General features: G+C 41.8%; 2 protein-coding genes and 1 long non-coding RNA gene across 8 annotated transcripts in view, besides 2 other annotated features; 1 reads left to right on the top strand and 2 right to left on the bottom strand.

The window, feature by feature from the left end:
- Window positions 1-5633: 5633 nt before the first annotated feature.
- HSPA2 (heat shock protein family A (Hsp70) member 2) lies at window positions 5634-12966 on the bottom strand. 2 transcript variants are annotated; one of them, NM_001387931.1, is made up of 2 exons: window positions 12896-12966; window positions 5634-8026 (listed from the first exon to the last, which is right to left on the bottom strand). In NM_001387931.1, the coding sequence occupies exon 2, from the start codon at window positions 8019-8021 to the stop codon at window positions 6102-6104; it is 1920 nt and encodes a 639-aa protein (NP_001374860.1). In that variant the 5' UTR covers window positions 8022-8026; window positions 12896-12966; the 3' UTR covers window positions 5634-6101. The 2 variants fall into 2 exon arrangements, with proteins under 2 accessions (NP_001374860.1, NP_068814.2); NM_021979.4 differs by lacking the exon at window positions 12896-12966 and having other exon boundaries at window positions 5634-8130.
- Window positions 7986-8095: an enhancer, noted in NCBI's record as "active region_8536". NCBI's record gives its function as "activates an Ori minimal core promoter by ATAC-STARR-seq in GM12878 lymphoblastoid cells {active_cell/tissue: GM12878}" and the evidence as "EXISTENCE:reporter gene assay evidence [ECO:0000049][PMID:35858748]".
- Window positions 8266-8355: a silencer, noted in NCBI's record as "silent region_5838". NCBI's record gives its function as "represses an Ori minimal core promoter by ATAC-STARR-seq in GM12878 lymphoblastoid cells {active_cell/tissue: GM12878}" and the evidence as "EXISTENCE:reporter gene assay evidence [ECO:0000049][PMID:35858748]".
- Window positions 8503-19313, top strand: part of HSPA2-AS1 (HSPA2 and ZBTB1 antisense RNA 1) — a 26218-nt gene continuing 15407 nt past the window's right edge. Inside the window, exons 1-2 of the long non-coding RNA NR_110550.1 lie at window positions 8503-8554; window positions 16302-16397. This is a non-coding gene — a long non-coding RNA (HSPA2 and ZBTB1 antisense RNA 1). The remainder of the gene's footprint in view (window positions 8555-16301; window positions 16398-19313) is intronic.
- Window positions 15178-19313, bottom strand: part of ZBTB1 (zinc finger and BTB domain containing 1) — a 29978-nt gene continuing 25842 nt past the window's right edge. For all 5 annotated transcript variants that reach the window (XM_047431111.1, XM_047431107.1, XM_047431108.1 and 2 more), the window contains one exon: window positions 15178-17010. In XM_047431111.1, the coding sequence (XP_047287067.1) occupies window positions 16974-17010 (37 nt within the window). In that variant the 3' untranslated portion in view covers window positions 15178-16973. The remainder of the gene's footprint in view (window positions 17011-19313) is intronic.

Genomic DNA, 19313 nt, shown 5'->3' with positions numbered 1-19313 from the left:
TATGCCAAGAGCTTTTCACCAAGTAGCGAACATAACTTGGGGTGGACAGGACAGGGAAATAATGAGGTAAAGCTCAAGAAAAGATGCAGACAGACCAAGGAATCTGGATGGCATCCAATCACTACATAATCATTACCGGGAAGACCACACTAGTGGTCAGTAAACCTCTTCAGTTCATCCCAATAATGTGTGGAGAAGTGCTGATAGAAAACTTAAGATCTATATATCTTATCACAGAATAAACTTAGGCTGTCTAATGTACAAAACTTAGGTAAAAATAAAAGTTGAGAGCCCAAAACAATAACTACTTAAAAATTAAAGGAGAAGTTATTTCGCATGTGATAGAGGGACATAATATTTAAAGGAAAGTTTCAGTAACTCTGAAGGGACAATCTTATACTTCTCTATCACTTTACCCCAAACAAAAGGAGGAAGAAAAGATTGTTTTTACATCTCTTAATCATTACAGTACTTATTTTAAAAAGTGACCCACCGATTTCCTAAGGTACATTTTTCACCAGTTAGGTTTCTTTTTAAATGACATTAGAAACTCACAACCAAAACTGGAAATATGATTGTCCCTGTAAAGAAGAATAAACACAATTGATGATATTTAGTAGGGATGAAGGTAACTTCTAAATATTTGATAACTCCAAGTGTCCTGTGAGGGAATTTTTTTTTTTCCTAATTAAGAGAAACTTAAGGTCATATAACTATCTAAGAGCATATAATATATAACTAAATTGCTGGTCCCAGATTTTAGGTCCAAGACATTAACTGAATATAATTCATGCTAATTCTATAAAAAAGATAATGGACAGGTTTGTTTTTTTGTTTGTTTGTTTTGAGACGGAGTCTCGCTCTGTCGCCCCGGCTGGAGTGCAGTGGCATGATCTCGGCTCACTGCAAACTCCGCCTCCCGGGTTCACGCCATTCTGCCTCAGTCTCCTGAGTAGCTGGGACTACAGGAGCCCCCACCACGCCCGGCTTATTTTTTAGTAGAGACGGGGTTTCACCGTGTTAGCCAGGATGGTCTCGATCTACTGACCTCATGATCCGCCCGCCTCGGCCTCCCAAAGTGCTGGGATTACAGGCGTGAGCCACCGCGCCCGGCCAATGGACAGGTTTTTATAGTGTTGTAATTCTACCTTAAAAAATTAACTTTCCACAGAAGAAAACAGCAATGCAAAATTTTGAATTAACAACTCCATTTTTGAAAAATTATTTTTTTTTCTGACACTATACATCTGCAGATGGCAGCTCCTGTTTTTTTGTTTGTTCATTTGTTTTGTTTTGAGACAGGGTCTCACTCTGTCGCCCGGGCTGGAATACGGTAGTGCGATCTCCGCTCACTGCAACCTCCGCCTCCCGGGCTCAAGCGATTCTCCCACCTCAGCCTCTTGAGTAGCTGGGACTACAGGGGCACGCCACCATGCCTGGCTGATTTTTGTATTTTTAGTAGAGACAGGGTTTCACCATGTTGGCCAGGCTGGTCTCGAACTCCTGACTTCAAGTGATCTGCCCGTTTCGGCCTCCCAAAGTGCTGGGATTATAGGCGTGAGCCACCGCGCCAGCAGCTCCATTTTTGATTGCTTATTTACTAAACCTTCAATTCACAGACAACCTAATCTACACTGAAAGAAGGGGAAGAAAGGGCCTATGACATCTTGGTATGTTCTAAGGGAAAGACATTTTAACATTAAGCATCACCCTATTAAATTTCAGAACTGCATATACCCTAAAATATTTCCATTTCAAAAGCTACATCAAGGCCGGGTGCGGTGGCTCAGGCCTGTAATCCCAGCACTTTGGGAGGCCGAGGCGGGCTGATGACCTGAGGTCAGGAATTCAAGACCAGCCTGGCCAACATGGTGAAACTCCGTCTCTACTAAAAATACAAAAATTAGCCAGTCGTGGTGGTGGGTGCCTATAATTCCAGCAACTCTGGAGGCTGAGGCGGGAGAATTGCGTGAACCCAGGAGGCGGAGGTTGCAGTAACCGAGATTGCTCCACTGCACTCCAGCCTGGGCGACAGAAGGAGACTCCAACTCAAAAATAAAAATAAAAAGCTATATCAAGAATAAACACTGGGGCCAGGCATAGTGGGTCAGGCCTGTAATCCCAGTACTTTGGGAAGCCAAGGCGGGCAGATCACTTGAGGTCAGGAGTTCCAGACCAGCCTGGTCAACATGGTGAAACTCTTGTCTCTACTACATAGTCCCAGCCATTCAGGAGGCTGAGGTGGGAGAATCACTTGAACTCAGGAGGCAGAGGTCGCAGTGAGCCATCGTGCCATTGCACTCCAGCCTGGGCAACAGAGCAAGACTCTGTCTCAAAAAAAATAATAAATACTGGGCTTTTGCCAAGCGCAGTGGCTCACGCCTGCAATCCCAGCACTTTGGGAGGCCGAGGCGGGCAGATCAGCTGAGCTCAGGAGTTCAAGTCCAGCCTGGCCAACACGGTGAAACCCTCTCTACTAAAAATACAAAAATTAGCCGGGTGTGGTGGCATGCGCCTGTAATCCCAGCTACTCGGAAGGCTGAGGCAGGAGAATTGCAGAGGTTGCAGGGAGCTGAGGAGGCCCCACTGCACTCTAGCCTGAGCAACAGAGTGAGACTCTGTCTCAGAAAACAAAACAAAACTGGGCTTTTTCTAAAGATCCAAAATTTTCCTCGAGGAATTAAATTCTGCTCCTAATTCTGTAACTAATTCAGAAGTTTATTCACACCTATTTATACATTACACAATTGAATATTCCTGCTTCTGAATCCAAACATATATATTCCCTTAACAGTTGAGACATACGGATGTGAGATATTTTTAAACTTCAATTTAAATCGTGTTCAAAAGCAAGAGGAGCATGCCTCACAACACAACCTTTATAAACTACATTCAGTTAAAAGTAAGAATATGTTATAGGTCCACTATTGGAAAATCATAAAAATAGATTTTCTGATTTCATCTAGATAGCCAGGTTGTATTACTGTTTAAGATTATACATAAAAAAGAAATACTCATTAAGTCTCCATTACATATTGAATGGGTAACATAATATTACACATACATGTTAAATTAACAGTTGTAAATTGTACTAAGATCTCCTAATGTACAAGTTTTAATGCATTTTCATTATACATATCAAATCAATACTATAAAAAATTTAAAGTGAGTTTGTTTTGAAATTTCACACATCTCAAATACTGTAAACAACTAGTTATGTCTTCGTTTGACAGGTGTCTATATTTGTTCCCTCAAAACAGGGACAACTATGTTAATCAAACATTCAGATAAGAATTTCAGGTAAGTGGGCTGGCGCGTGGCTCACGCCTGTAATCCCAGCACTTGGGGAGGCCAAGGCGGGCGGATCACCTGAGGTCGGGAGTTCCAGACCAGCCTGACAAACATGGAGAAACCCCATCTCTACTAAAAATACAAAATTAGCCAGGTGTGGTGGTGCATGCCTGTAATCCCAGCTACTCGGTAGGCTGAGGCAGGAGAATCGCTTGAACCCAGGAGGCGGAGGTTGAAGTGAGCCGAGATCAAGCCATTGCACTCCAGCCTGGGCAACAAGAGTGAAATTCCGTCTCAAAAAAAAAAAAAAAAAAAGAATTTCAGATAAGTGCCTGTCGGAGAATCCTTAAACTGTAATTTAGCCCCATCCTAACATCAAGTACTTTTTCCACTGTTATTTGACTATGGCTGATCTAACATCTGCTAAGGAGTTCCCAGGAGTTATCAGGTTACAAGTTTCAACTGACCCCTGGAAAGTGAATGGCTACTTTGGTGGCTTTATCTTGGTAATATGCAAATCTTGGTAAATTTGAAAAGAGAGAATTAAATAAGAAACACTCTCAAGAATGCTCAAGAATGTAAAACTCAAGAATTTGAGTTTTACAAATTACTTTTCAAAATAGAAAATGAAGTATCTGCCCAGATTGATGTTAGTATTATAGCAAGCTACCGGAGGTCAGGCCGTAGGATCAAAAACTACCAATGGTCATTTTCTGATACTTTAGAAACTAATCTCTTAAGTGAGGTCTAAAATGAGTCATACCAAACTGCATTTACAGAAGGACTCCATTATATTTTGAAGTTAGAGCAAGGAATGAACACTTTCAACAAATAAAGGACTAATAAAAGGGTAACAGAATGGGTATTATCTTGGTAAAACTCACAGTAAACGTCACTCTAAAGCTACAATTAACCTGATTTTGTAGTACCATAGTAGTTTGTCACATATTTATGCCTGTAGTCCATGAAACACCCTTAAATGCTCATTGCTGAAAAATTTCCACCAATGTGACACCAGCACTGATAAATTGGAGTTATCTTTAGCTTTTCAGAGTATAAAAAGCAGTTTCCTTTAAAAAAAAAAAAAGGTTTTTATGTTGAAGCAATTTCACTGTTGGCTATTTATCTTCCTCCCCCCTACCCAAATGAGGCTTGCTAAAAAGGAAAAAAAAAAAAACACCTTATGTGTACTTAAGAGTCAACTCTTGTATGAAAGGGTCATTACCAAAGGCCAGTATTCTTAGGCTAACTTCTTAGCTAGTTTTAAAATTATTACTCATTCCATTATTCATAAAATTAATCTCTCTGAATGACACAGATGGGTCCACTACTAAATTGAAGATAAAGCTTTCATAACTATTGTCTTATGAGCAGCATGAAGCAAACCTGCATCATGTGGAAAGATATCAAAACGTCTATGTGCAGTAAAAACATTAGGTTAACTATGCATTTTCCTATTGGTTTTACTGAATTTCTCTCAAGTTCTCCTTAAAGAGAGTAAGAAAAGAGTAGTCATGTCATTTCACTAAAAAATAAAAATGAATTCCTTTCTCTGAAGGATGTGAATTTTAAAGATTAAGTCCAGGATAGTGGATCACCAAAGGGTTGCAATATTCTTATCTATAACAATCTCAAATTGGATATGGAGGAAAATGGACAAGTTGTATATTAACAAAATACAAGACTATCTAGTACAGTTTGCCTTTTAAAAAAGAAATCTATCGTAGTGATTTAAGGCAAGTATTGCAAAAACGTTATGATCCCCAAACCAGAAAAAAATAATAATAATTATGTTTCCCTACCCAAGTAATTCTAACTGCGGGAAACATGTTATTAGAATTTGCCATAAGCTCAGAAGTTGAGCTGTTTTACTAGAAAATTAAACAAGTTTGACTAAATTTATACTCACTATTAAGTCACTTGAAAGCTTGCCTGCTGTCTCTTGTTTCAGGCTCCTGTATGTCACAAAATTAATTTGTTTCCATATTTCCTTTGGCAATTATAAGACAACTTCTGCCCAGCTTTTGTTAAAGGCTCATTTTACATTTAACCCCAGAATATAGCTCATATTTTCCTGGAATATTCAGGTGAATTTTCATTTGGACACTTAAGTTGTAGGAGTGTGAGTACACTAGGAAGACCCCAAGTCAGGTTTCTGTATTTAAGGGTGGGTGAAGTTTACCCAGATTCTTCTCCCCTTAAGTTGTTGGAATTCAAGGCAGCACCCTCATCTGGGAATTAAACAAGATTGGTTAGATAAATTTCACATCATACTAACATCTTAAAAGACGAATATGGGTAAAATATAAAGGAAGGAAAATTGAAAACTCCAAGACAGTAACTTTGAGATCAATTTCAGCTTTACTTTACATTTGCATTTATGCATTTGTTTGCAAAAAGTATACCTGTCCTTAACATTACTGCAATGTTCAGTTTAGTTTTAAAGTAGTACATAAAAATAAACAATTTAAGCTCCTATATATTTTACTGTTTCCAAGCTTCTACAGAACAGGTGTGCAAACTTAAGGTTTCTCATCTCAAACAAATCTCCATGCACGAACTAATCAAAAATGCTCAAGTCAGCAAACACGCAAAATGCATTAAAGAGAAACCTCGAATAATGTTTTTAAAAAACAAACTTTGGAACTTTTATAATTAAACTAAGTTGTTGCACCTCTCCTTTCATTTGCATATACCAAAGACTTCCAACAATAGATCTCGTACTTGGCACAAGGACATTTCAAAGAAACAAACAAAAAAAAAGAGAGAGAGAGAAAGGCAAAGAGGTTTACGCTGACTTGAGTGCAAGCTTAGTCCACTTCTTCGATGGTGGGTCCCCCGGAGGCTCCTGAACCGCCGCCGCCGCTGCCGCCGCCAGGACCACCTTGGTAAAGTTTGCTGATGATGGGGTTGCAAACTCTTTCGAGCTCTTTCTGCTTGTGTTCATACTCATCTTTCTCTGCCATCTGGTTTCGGTCGAGCCAGTTGATCACCTCCTGACACTTGTCGAGGATCTTGTTTTTGTCCTGCTCGCTAATCTTGCCCCTCAGTTTCTCGTCTTCCACCGTCTGCTTGATGTTGTAGGTATAGGACTCCAGGGCGTTTTTGGCCGCGACTCGGTCGCGATTCGCCTCATCTTCCGATTTGTACCGCTCCGCCTCCTGCACCATCCGGTCAATGTCGTCCTTGCTCAGACGACCTTTGTCATTGGTGATGGTGATTTTGTTTTCCTTACCGGTGCTCTTGTCGGCGGCGGTAACGTTAAGGATGCCATTGGCGTCAATGTCGAAGGTAACCTCGATTTGGGGGACCCCGCGAGGCGCAGGGGGAATCCCGGTCAGGTCGAACTTGCCCAGCAGGTTATTGTCCTTGGTCATGGCCCGTTCGCCCTCGTATACCTGCACCAGTACGCTGCTCTGGTTGTCCGAGTAGGTGGTGAAGGTCTGCGTCTGCTTGGTGGGGATCGTGGTGTTCCTCTTGATGAGTGGGGTCATGACACCGCCAGCTGTCTCGATGCCCAGCGACAACGGGGTCACGTCGAGTAGCAGCAGGTCCTGCACATTCTCTGATTTGTCGCCGATGAGGATGGCCGCCTGCACCGCGGCGCCATAGGCCACCGCCTCGTCGGGGTTGATGCTCTTGTTCAGCTCCTTGCCGTTGAAGAAATCCTGCAGCAGCTTCTGGATCTTGGGGATACGAGTGGAGCCGCCCACCAGCACGATCTCCTGGATCTGGCCCTTGTCCAGCTTGGCGTCGCGCAGCGCCTTCTCCACCGGCTCCAGGGTCCCGCGAAAGAGGTCGGCATTGAGCTCCTCGAAGCGGGCGCGCGTGATGGACGTATAGAAGTCCACGCCCTCGTAGAGCGAGTCGATCTCGATGCTCGCCTGCGTGGACGAGCTCAGGGTGCGCTTGGCGCGCTCGCAAGCGGTGCGCAGCCGCCTCACGGCGCGCTTGTTGGGCCCAATGTCCTTCTTGTGCTTGCGCTTGAACTCCTCCGCCAGGTGGCTCACCATGCGGTTGTCGAAGTCCTCACCGCCCAGGTGGGTGTCGCCGGCCGTGGACTTCACCTCGAAGATGCCATCCTCGATGGTCAGGATGGACACGTCGAAAGTGCCACCGCCCAGGTCAAAGATGAGCACGTTCTTCTCGCCGCCCGCGCAGCCCTTCTTGTCCAGGCCGTAGGCGATGGCCGCCGCCGTGGGCTCGTTGATGATGCGCAGCACATTGAGCCCCGTGATGGTGCCTGCGTCCTTGGTGGCCTGGCGCTGCGAGTCGTTGAAATAGGCCGGGACCGTTATGACCGCGCTGTGCACCTTGCCCCCCAGGTAGGCTTCCGCGATCTCCTTCATCTTCGTGAGGACCATGGAGGATATCTCCTCTGGGAAGAAGGTCTTGGTCTCCCCCTTGTACTCTACTTGCACTTTGGGCTTGCCTCCCTCGCTCACCACCCGGAACGGCCAGTGTTTCATATCCGACTGCACTGTGGCATCCTCGAATTTCCGTCCAATCAGCCTCTTGGCGTCGAAGATGGTGTTGGTGGGGTTCATGGCCACCTGGTTCTTGGCGGCGTCGCCGATGAGGCGCTCGGTGTCCGTGAAGGCCACGTAGCTGGGGGTGGTGCGATTGCCCTGGTCGTTGGCGATGATCTCCACCTTGCCATGTTGGAAGACCCCGACGCACGAATAGGTGGTGCCCAGGTCGATGCCGATAGCCGGGCCACGGGCAGACATCCTGACTGAAAGGCGAGCGACGTTAGGACGGGAAAACCAGGGAGATGAACTCCGCGGAGTCAACTAACGGCCACCTCGAACCAAGCACCACGGGCACTACCAGCAACTCAGCTCCCCGCGCCCAGTTCCCGGTTCTTATAGCCGCCTCTGGGAACTCCCAGACCCAATCCGCTCCCGGGACCGCCCTCACAAACTCTTCCAGCTCCACCACAGGCTTGCCTAGGTCGGAGTGACTGGCCCGTGACCCAACAGATTTCAAGTTGGACGAGGGGCGGGACTCCGGCCCCCGCCAGGAGACAGAGGGGCGGCCGTTATGTAAATGAGGTTCCTCCCTGACTCTCGGCCGCCAGGCCGTGGTGCCTCGCGCGCCTCCTGCTGCTGGCTGGCGTTAGGCGCGCGCTCCCAGAGCCAGGTGTACGCGCTTTTTCGCGGTCTTTGCCCTAGCCGACGTGCATCGGATTGGCAGGGCACGCGGCCAATGAGCAGTGCGGACTGAGGCGCGGCACGGGGAGGAGGCGTGGAAGGGGATCCCGGTGAGGAGAGCCACTGGGAGAGTTCGCTCAATTCCTGAGGTTTTAAATGCAGTTCACTGCTAGGGTGCCGACTCACTGAGCACGCAGGGGCGGAGGAATTCATTCTGAGTTGGTTGCACCGAAGAAATAAAGCTCGAGCAGCTTGTTTTCCCCGGCGCCGTCCAAGGGGAGGGAATAGGGAATTGGGGTGGCTGGGGTGGGGGGTGAGGGCGGATCCCTTGGACGGGGATTAAAGAAAAGAAAAAGTCTGAACCGGCGGTCGGCCTCCTGGGATTTTATGGTGGGTGCTTCACTGCGTCTCAGTGGTTGTGAGCGCTCGATTAAAACTGCCTGGCTGGGGCCGGGCGCAGTGGCTAACGCCTGTAATCCCAGCACTTGGGAGGCCGAGGCGGCCGGATCACGACGTTAAGACATCGAGACCATCCTGGCCAACATGGTGAAAGCCCGTCTCTACTAAAGATACAAAAATTAGCTGGGCGTGGTGGCGCGTGCCTGTAGTCTCAGCTACTCGGGAGGCTGAGGCAGGAGAATCGCTTGAACCCGGGAGGTGGAGGTTGCAGTGAGCCGAGATCACGCCACTACACTCCAGCCTGGGCGACTGAGCGAGACTCCGTCTCAAAAAAAACAAAAAAAAACCCCACTGCCTGGCGGGCGGAGAGAACCTGAGCCCAGGGCGAGGCCGACCGTTTTCCCGCGCCGCGTGAGGGCGGCTGGCGGGACGGCAGACAGGGGTGTGGCGGCGACTTGTCCTCCGAGGAGCCTGCATTTAAACCCTTCCTGCCTCACTCTTCCTTTTTCCTGTTTGTCCTGCCGCTTTAAACTCTGGTTTCGCCTTCCTGTTCATTCCATTGCTTATTTTAGGTCGCAAGTGCTTTATCCACTGCTTTGAGTTTTTGACTGGAAAACCCATAATATAATCAGTCAAAACCCACACGTTGAAACACCATAAAGTCACCCAGTCTCGGTCACCCTGGCACACACGGGGTTGTGATCGTGACCTAGTCATGTTTCTGACTCCGCTCAATGGAATGGAATGATTTTCTTTGGCTGTGCTGAGGTTAATATTGGAGGCATAAACCCTCCGAGAAGGTAGATGAAAAGGAGCGCGATTCACTTCCTCCTGTTTAACAGGAATGTGAGGACAGGTCTGGAAAATACCCTGGCACCAGGTAATAATCTTTAGAAGCAGGCTCCCATATAAATGGGCTCCTGGACGGGTGTGGAGGCTCATGCCTGTAGTTTCAGCACTTTGAAAGGCCGCGGTAGGTGGATCACTTGCTGTCAGAAGTTCGAGGCCAGCCTGGCCAACATGGTGAAACCCCGTCTCTACTAAAAATACAAAAATTAGCCGGGCGTGGTGGCGCGCGCCTGTAGTCCCAGCTACTCGAGAGGCAGAGGTTGCAGTCAGTCGAGATTGCGACACTGCACTCCAGCCTGGGCGACAGAACGAGACTCCGTCTCAAAAAAATAAAATAAATGGTCTCCAGGAGGAAGCAAAGACAGCGATCACTTTACATAATATGTGTGGGGAGGCTGGGGAAGTCCTTCCATCAAGCTTGAACAGGTACCTACTACGTGGCAGTAAAAAGCCAAATGAAATGGCCTGGTCTTCAGAGGTGGAGAGTCTAATAAACAGGTAAACATAATTTGGGAGAAGCGCTGAAAGCAAAGCGCCATGGGAACACAGAGGGGCACACCCAGGCTGATGGAAAAGTGCGTTGCTGAGAGCTACCTGGAAGAGGTGGCATGCCTAATCCGGGAGCTGAAGTTCGCCAGCAAAGAGTAGGAAAGCCATTCTTTACATAGGTTGTGTATGGGCGAAGATGAGAGCAATGTTTGCTGGACTAGGATTTCTGTACAGAAGATTAGTGTCACTAGAAGGGAGGGATACAGGCAAGCAATAGGCTCTTCAGGTGGATAGGATACATCTCAGAGCTTTTTGAGCCATGGTCTTTTTCCTGAGGCTTTGGGCTGGGAGCACCGTCCTTTAAAGCAGGCTAGTGATGTGCAGCCATGTAAAAGCTGTATGAAATGGCGCTGGAGAAAAGCTTTTGTCAACCCAGAAGTTATCTGTGACCAAAAAGTAATGTTGAGAGAATTCTATAAAGTCAATGAACATTTAAGATTATTTTATCTAGTGGTGTATATCATTTCCAGTTTTTAAGAACATAATTGGTTATTAATCGGTTAATGTCATCAGTTAGTACTAATTTTAACCATAATTCCTATCCTCTTTTCCATGAATTTGAAAAAATTTTGAAAAAGGGGACGTTTTAAAGAAAATATTAGAAAGGCTGGACGCGGTGGCTCATGCCTGTAATCCCAGCACTTTGGGAGGCCGAGGCGCGTGGATCACGAGGTCAGAAGTTCAAGACCAGCCTGGCCAAGATGGTGAAACCCTGTCTCTACTAAAAATACAAAAATTAGCCGGGCCTGGTGGTGGGCGCCTGTAATCCCAGCTACTTGGGAGGCTGAGGCAGAGGATTGCTTGAATCCGGGAGGCAGAGGTTGCAGTGAGCTGAGATCACGCCACTGCACTCCAGCCTGGGCGACAGAGCAAGACTCTGTCTAAAAAAAAAAAGAAAAAGAAAAGAAAATATTAGGAAAACAAGGATAAAACCCAGACTTTTCTAATTGAAACTGTCATAAATTGTGAGTACAGATCTCTTGATTTTATTCTTGGAAATTCTTGTCTTTTGTGTAGTTTGGGGGTGGGGGGTATTTGTTTGGTTTTTTTTGAGACAGAGTCTTGTTCTGTCGCCAGGCTGGAGTGCAGTGGCTCACTGCAACCTCTGCCTCCTTGGTCCAAGAGATTGTCGTGCCTCAGCCTTCCAGATAGCTGGGTTACTTATGTGCACCAGCACGTCCATCTAATTTTTATATTTTTGGTAGAGACAGGGTTTCACCATGTTTGCCAGGCTGTTCTCGAACCCCTGACTTCAAATTGTCTGCCCATCTTGGCCTCCCAACGTGCTGGGATTACAGGCCTGAGTTTTTCTTCTCTCTTTTCTTTTCTTTCTCTTTCTTTCTTTCTTTCCTTCTTTTTCTTTCTTTCTTTCTTTTCTTTTCTTTGTTTTTTTAGAAAAGGGAATTAGTGGGCTGGAAGCAATGCATATTCTTTGTAGAACTGATGATATATGACTTAGAGATACAGTCTCAGCTACAACTGAAACAAAGAATGTGAGAAACACAAATTCTTTAAATCTCTTGCATTCAGTCAGCCCTCAACACACCTCAAGCAAACCAAGATTGCAAAAGAGCAAGCAGGCCAGAGTTCTCACATAGAATCACTAAAATTAGAGCTTCAGAGGAATAGTTTCTTTTGCACAATAACTGTGCTACCTCTGTGCCCAGATATTACAAACACATCTTGCAATCTGACCACCACATTCATCTTTAACACAGGTTTCTGAAACCACAGTAGCAATTATACCCACATTTTCATTAGCCATGTATATTTTTTTCTGCCCTAACTTGTGTTTTGTATGTTCCATAGTTTAAGAGGCATCCTAAGCTTTTCCCAAAAAAGACACTGTATTTGTATTTTGGGTTTTTAAAAATTTGTTTGTTTGTTTTAAGAGACAGGGACTTGCTGTGTCACCCAGGCTGGAATGCAGTGGCAGGCTCACAGCTTGCACAAGCGATCCTCCCACTTCAGCCTCCGGAGTAGTTAGGACTACAGGCATGCACCACCAAGCCCGGCTAATTTTTGTATTTTTGTAGAGATGGAGTTTTGCCATGTTGGTCAGTCTGGTCTCGAACTCCTTAGCTCAAGCTCTCCACCAGTCTCAGCCTCCCAAAGTGCTGGGATTACAGTAGTGAGCCACCACACCTGGCCAATATTTTTTCTTTACATTAAATATGATCATGCCTTTTATTTAGCATTACTCATTGTGGGATTTATTCTAAGGAAATAATAGAAAATGCAGGTAGTATTATTTATGTTAATGATAATAGAAAGGAAATGGTTTAAATATCCAAAAATAAGAGATTACCTAAATTATAGTACATGCATATGATGAATTCTTACGCAGCCGTAAAAATGGTTTACAAGATTTTTAATGACACGGAAAAATGTTCTTGGTATAATTAAGTGAATAAAATATATGAAACTTGTATCTTCTTATATGTAGGATAATCTAATATAGATTTAAAATGCATCAAAATTGGTTATCTAGAAGGTAGAATTATCAGTAATTTTTCTAAGTTTCCTTACTGTGCTTTTACAATTGATTTTGAGAACTTGACTATTAACAGCTACATTAGTCCATTTTCACGCCGCTGATAAAGACACCCGAGACTGGGTAATCTATAAGGGAAAAAAAGGTTTAGTGGACTCACACTTCCATATGGCTGGGGAGGCCTCACAATCACGGCAGAAGGCGAAAGGCACATGGCGGCAGGCAAGAGAGAATGAGAACCAAGCAAAAGGGGTGGACTCCCCCGAGGGCTGCGGTACTGTCCTGCTCTCCAGTATTTGCAAGGGCCGAAAGGTGTACCAGCATTTCAGCAAGGCCCGGGAACCCCGCACAGCCACACCAAACCCTATGTCTGCTCCAAGGGCTGGAAGTTCGAGTGCATCAGAGGCCGACAGGCCAGCCGAGGCTACAAAAACTAACCTTGGATCCTACCCTCTTAATAAAAAGATTTTGGATGCTGAAAAAAAAATCAGATCTTACTCACTACCACCAGTTACATGGCAGCAGGCAAGAGAGAATGAGAACCAAGCAAAAGGGGTTTCCCCTTATAAAACCATCAGCTCTTACTACCACGAGAATAGTATGGGAGAAACCGCCCCCATGATTCAATTATCTTTCACCACAACACATGGGAATTATGGGAGCTACAATTCAAGGTGAGATTTGGGTGGGGACACAGCCAAACCATATCAACAGTTGAAACAAAGTCTATTAGTCTTACATAGAAATTATTGCTGATTTTCAACAAGTGAACTCTCTCTTTGGCAGATTATAAATACTAGGGTGTTTCAAAGTATTTTTAAAATCCAAAGACTAAGGCTCCACAGATTAAATGGTGGAAAAAACAAGAGCTTTAACATATGTCAAATCCTCTGTAATTAATTCCTAGCACCCAGAAGAGTGCCTGGAAAGCAGTAGTAAATCACTAGCTTAGTATTTATTAAAAGTGACCTGAGACACATTATTTAACAAAAAAAAAATTTAGTTTTTTTCTTTATAGTAGGAAGATACACTGCCTACCTCTTATATTTCTGTACTAAATGACACTGCAGAGACCAAAAGTTGAAACAAATTCATATCTGAAAATATTTGTACTAGAGATACAAAGGTGAATAAGATACGGCCTAAAACTATGTGCCTGGGTGTTAGACCTGCCCTAAGGAGACTGAGCAATAATACATTTTTGCAGAATTACTAGGGAAAAAAACCCCAACTCGTGAATTTTCCTAAAATCCTCTCAGTCTCTACCCAGGAACAACCTTCACAAGGGTTGTAGATTATCTTAAGGAGATAATGTTGGCCTGAAGAAAAGATGGAATAACAGCCTCTAATTTGAGGGCCCTTGAGCAAACTGAAATTCAACTAATGATTATCTTTAAGATCTCTATAAATACTGCCATTTTATAATTCTTACAAAGTGCTGTGTCCTAAAATATTTCTTCACCTATCACTACAGGAAAAAACTTGCCATTTGTTTCTTTGAGTCTTAAAAAATTCAGTCTTGAAGTTACACTTAAGCTGTAGATACACAGTAGGCTGGGGTAAGACATTTCCATGCCTGGTATGGAAGGGTAAGAGACCTGAACCTGGAAGGCTTTTTCCAAAAGAGAAGTTAATCTATGACAACAGCAGACAAATTATACCTACTTCAACTTTTAGTGCTAACCTTATAGACCCTTGTGGAATAGATTGAAATAATCTGGAAGAAGTGAGGCTGTCCTATACTTGGAGAATCAGATTCAATATGCAATTATTGTTAATACTTATTTAATTCTTAAACTGAAAAAAAAATGAATTATACTGGCAAAGTAGTTATTTCTCTGACAGTAAATTGTGTTTACTTGAAAAATGAATTAAGCCTCTGAAAGAGCTAAACACTTTATCAATGGATATTTATAAATAATTATTTCTTTGTGTATTAAGAAGGAAATCCAGGCCAGATGCAGTGGCTCATACCTGTAATCCCAGCACTTGGGAGACAAAGGCAGGAGGATCACTCGAGCCCAGGAGTTCAAGACTAACCTGGGCAACACAGGGAGACCCCATCTCTACAAAAAATTTTAAAAATTAGCAGGCATCGTGGTGGGAATCTATAGTCCTAGCTACTAGGGTGGCTAAGGTGGGAGGATCCCTTGAGCCCAGAAGTCTGAGGTTACAGTGAGCTATAATCTTGGCACTACTTTCCAGGCTGAGTAACAGATCATTCTTCTATATTGAAAGAAATCAGGATCTGGCAATAAGAATTTTAGCTAATTCTCTTTGTGCACATCTTAAGCTACCTGAGAACATCATAATTAGCTATATCAGATACTTTATTATTGTGGTATTAGAGGATGGAAGGAGTTAATAATTTTCAAACTAATAATTTTTTTAAATGGCCAGATTGGAAAAAATACAGTATAAATAAAAGTAATATACAGACAATTTAACTTTGGAATATAGAGGAGGAAATTTTATTAGGTAAAAACAATGGATTAAGAAATGTAATAAAAGTACTTTAACCCAATAATTCCATTTTATACTATATACTAAAATACAGAAAATAATCACATTGTAGAATGCATTTATACCATTTATAATTATTATAATTCATTACATTTATAGTTAGTACAGTCAAAATTTAAGCCATTTTTATTTAGTAAATCTAATTCCACCAGTCAATCAAAAATTATTTGTTGATTTATTACTATTTTGATCTGGCACCTTTAATTATTGGTAATATTCTTTTATTTTTCTTTTTCCTACTTATGTTTAGAGGTCTGCAGTTCTGTATACCTCCTTATGTTCCCAAAAGAGATTAACTCTAGGGTTTTTTAGACTCTAATATTTCCCTAGGCTTATTTGTTTTATTTCTCTTAAAGCAGTAGAATTCACATGTATTTGAACCCTTCAGTGGGTTTTTCTCTCCTTTCTACCCACTATCACATTGCAATTAACTCTTTCTCAGATTTTCACTTAGTCTAATTATTAGAATGAATATTCAAGTTATCCTACTTTACAGCAAGGGTTTTTTAAATGATGTAACTTCTGCACATACTATTAAGAATACTATAAATCTCTGTGCTTCTTGTTAAAACATTGGAATAAATAGTCATAAAAATAAGCATTTCTCAAAATAAATAACATCTTGATATTGCAGAAGAAACAAAATAATCATAAGGAATTGGGTACATAAACAGAAAGAAGTAAAACTACAAGTATATTCAGAATAAGGAAATAAAATTCATATGGTTAAGTAATATATATATGTGCACATATATATATCAAACAAAGCATTTATAGCCAGACTAAAATCTCACCAAATATTTAACTTCTCCATTAAAGATTTTTTAAAACATGTTAACCATCATTTTACTGAATACTTAAATTTTATCTTGAAATTTGAAAGCTGAGAAGCATGGTTTATACATAAATATTGAGAATAAGTATTTTAACAGAAACTTATTCTGCCTTATTAGGTTATATTGCCAAGTTCAGAAGAAAATAATGTGTCTGATTTGTGGAAATCTACCACTATTGAAGTAATACCATTTCTGTTCTCCTTCAAGTTAACAGGTTTAAAAGGGAGTTTCATTCATATAAATGATCAAGATTGTGACTGGCATATACAGTGGAAAAGGAAGAAGGGCAAGTGTTTTACTATAGTGAGTAATAACCAAATTATCCTGTTAAAATATTGGTCTTAAATTTTTTTTCTCTGTACCCATTACTTCTTACACTCTAAACTACAGATTTTTGGTGTAAGTTTTTAAGTTGACTAAGTACATTTCATAATATTTAAGCTATAATTCTAGTGATTTTAAGTTTAGAATTATTTATATCTATATAAATAGATTTGTGATTATGTCTCTTTATATTTGCAGTAGCCTAACAACCCCTTTTATTTTAGAAAGACCCTTGAAGATAATTAGCATATAAAGTTTTATTTTAGTATAGCTGTAACCACTGATGTTGTATGAATTTTCTAGTTACTTTTCTTCAGCAGATTTACACAAATATTAGAGTCACCATGAATCAATTTTGTTACAACAAAGTGATTCCAAAGTGATCTTTACTGAGTTTTCTTGGATCTTTGCAACTGGAACTTTTTGGGTTGATGGAAGTTTGTCAGGAAGACAGAAAAGATGGTGCCACTTCAGATCTGATATTCCTGGGTCTGTACTTAAAGATTATCTGTTGAAGATTGATTCTTCCCCATGTCCTCTCCAAATTCAGATCTCTCACTTCTCCACAGGTTTAGAAGGCCCTATTTCACCACTGCCACACAGAAAAAGACAAAACTCAAGAAAAATAATATTACAAGTTGACTGCTCTACAAGATACAACATAATTCTTAGATCAGAATTTCTTGGCTTTGGCACTAGGCCAACACACTGTTAACAGAACAGAGAATAGAAACACAAGCATAGCCCCTAGAATTTAAATTTAATTATTTCCCGAATGTAACTCGTACCATTCAAATATAAGATGTTCTTATTAATCTATCAGCAGGACATATAAATATATAACATAAAAAAAGATAGGGGTCAGACAAATAGAGGAAAGTAGGGAGGAAGGAAGCAGTTAAGAAGTGTTTTCCTTCAAATAAAATGATTTTACAATGTACTTTAACTTGTTAATGACAAATCTCTGATTGAAACATAAATCTAACAATTTTTTTAAAGTTCATATTCTTTTTACTGTCTTCAGCCACTCTGCAAATGAAAATGAAGCATACACGCACACACACATACACGCACAAAAGAAGAGGAGGGGTTTTCCTGCAAATTCCTAGGCTTATAAGCCTCCTAATCTGCCCTAGTGATTCTGAGTAAAATTATATTTTTGGCAACAGTGCTTTTCCCTCATAATAAGATCCTTAATTTTTTTAAAATTTTTTAAACATAAGCATTTGAAAAAAAAGATGGTTCATAATCTGGATGCTTAGAATTAATGTTTCTATCATCTAAAAATGAGCTCTCCTGATTGTGTTTGATATGAGCAGTTAGTTTAAGGAGAATAAAAACATGTTAACTTTTTAAGTAAGTAGGGGCTTTTTAAGCTGTATAATTAACTGTTCCTTCCTCAAATAGGAGAAAACAAACTGCAAATTTTCTCACATAAAATTATTAATATCCCTGACTCTGATATGAAATAATCTTTTAAATTTTGGTCATCCCTTGGCCCTAGACATTCCTGTGTTTTCACTTAATACAATAATGATTAGTACATTGATATGTTCAGTTCAGAGCCAAGTATTTAATTGTAATCTTCATACTATCTTTTTTGGTCAGCAATTGAGATGGATAATGAGAAATTATAATGGCTTTCTGTCCCTTAGTGATCTGTGGTAGATTTTGATGGAAAGAATGAGCAATTTTGACACTACTAATTGACTTCAGTGATTTGGTTCTCCTGAATAAGAGAACAACTTAAGTAAGATTTAAACTTCTTAATGCTAAATTCAACCAATTGTGTGCATATAAATGTAAGTGATATTAAGTTTGTTCAAAATTAACATTAATTTTTTTTTTTTTTGAGACGGAGTCTGTCTCCCAGGCTGGAGTACAGTGGCACGATATCAGCTCAGTGCAACCTCCATCTCCCAGGTTCAAGCGGTTCTCCCGCCTCAGCCTCCAGAGTAGCTGAGACTACAGGCATGTGCCACCACTCCCGGCTAATTTTTTGTATTTTTAGTAGAGAGGTTTCATCATGTTAGCCAGGCTGGTCTCGAACTCCTGACCTCAGCTGATTCACCTGCCTCGGCCTCTCAAAGTGCTGGGATTACAGGCATGAGCCACCTGAGCCACTGCTCCCAGCCAGAATTAGCATTAATTTACAAGCTGCTATTGTCATTTAGTTTATATTTAACACTTAAATGATTATATAGACATTGTCCACAGAATCTTCACAATCTCATTCTTCTGTTCTCACTTGAAAAGTGACATTTGGCAGACGGTAGCCAGATCATTAAAGTAGTAGGTTTAACATAGTAGTATAGAAATAAGGTAATAGACGCATAAAGTTAAAATAATATTAGATTGAGGGAGATTGTTTCACTTAAACCATTAAATAACCTTTTTTAAAGTTTGCTGCTAGGTTAGGGTGGTTATGCAGCTATGTGTCATTTCCTGAAATTATCTTTCATTTGTTTTATGAGTAAAACTGTCTCTATAAGTTTACCCTAAAAATCCATAGGTATTTTGGGAAATTGAATTATAAGTGGCTAGACTAACCAACATTTGTTTTTAGGCAAACTTAGATTGCTCTATAAATCTTAATCAAATCAATCACCTATGGTAACTGGGGAAGGGGGTTCTTCTGTTTATTAGTCAAAGATATGATGAATTTATTTGTTTTTATTTTTTGCGACAGGGTCTCGCTCTGTTGCCCAGGCTGGAGTGCAGTGACACAACCACGGCTCACTGCAGCCTTGACCTCTCAGGCTCAAGCAATTCTCTGACCACAGCCTCCCAAGTAACTGGGACTACAGGCATGCACCACCATGCCCGGCTAATTTTTAAATTTTTGTAGAGATGGGGTTTCGCTGTGTTGCCAGGGCTAGTCTCAAACTCCTGGGC

The sequence above is a fragment of the Homo sapiens genome, chromosome 14, assembly GCF_000001405.40.
Source record: "Homo sapiens chromosome 14, GRCh38.p14 Primary Assembly".
Taxonomy (NCBI): domain Eukaryota; kingdom Metazoa; phylum Chordata; class Mammalia; order Primates; family Hominidae; genus Homo; species Homo sapiens.
This window is presented reverse-complemented; position numbering and strand designations above follow the sequence as displayed.

Coding starts and splice junctions, on each gene's coding strand:
- HSPA2 (NM_001387931.1), bottom strand. CDS start 8,021: ATGTCTGCCCGTGGCCCGGCTATCGGCATCGACCTGGGCACCACCTAT.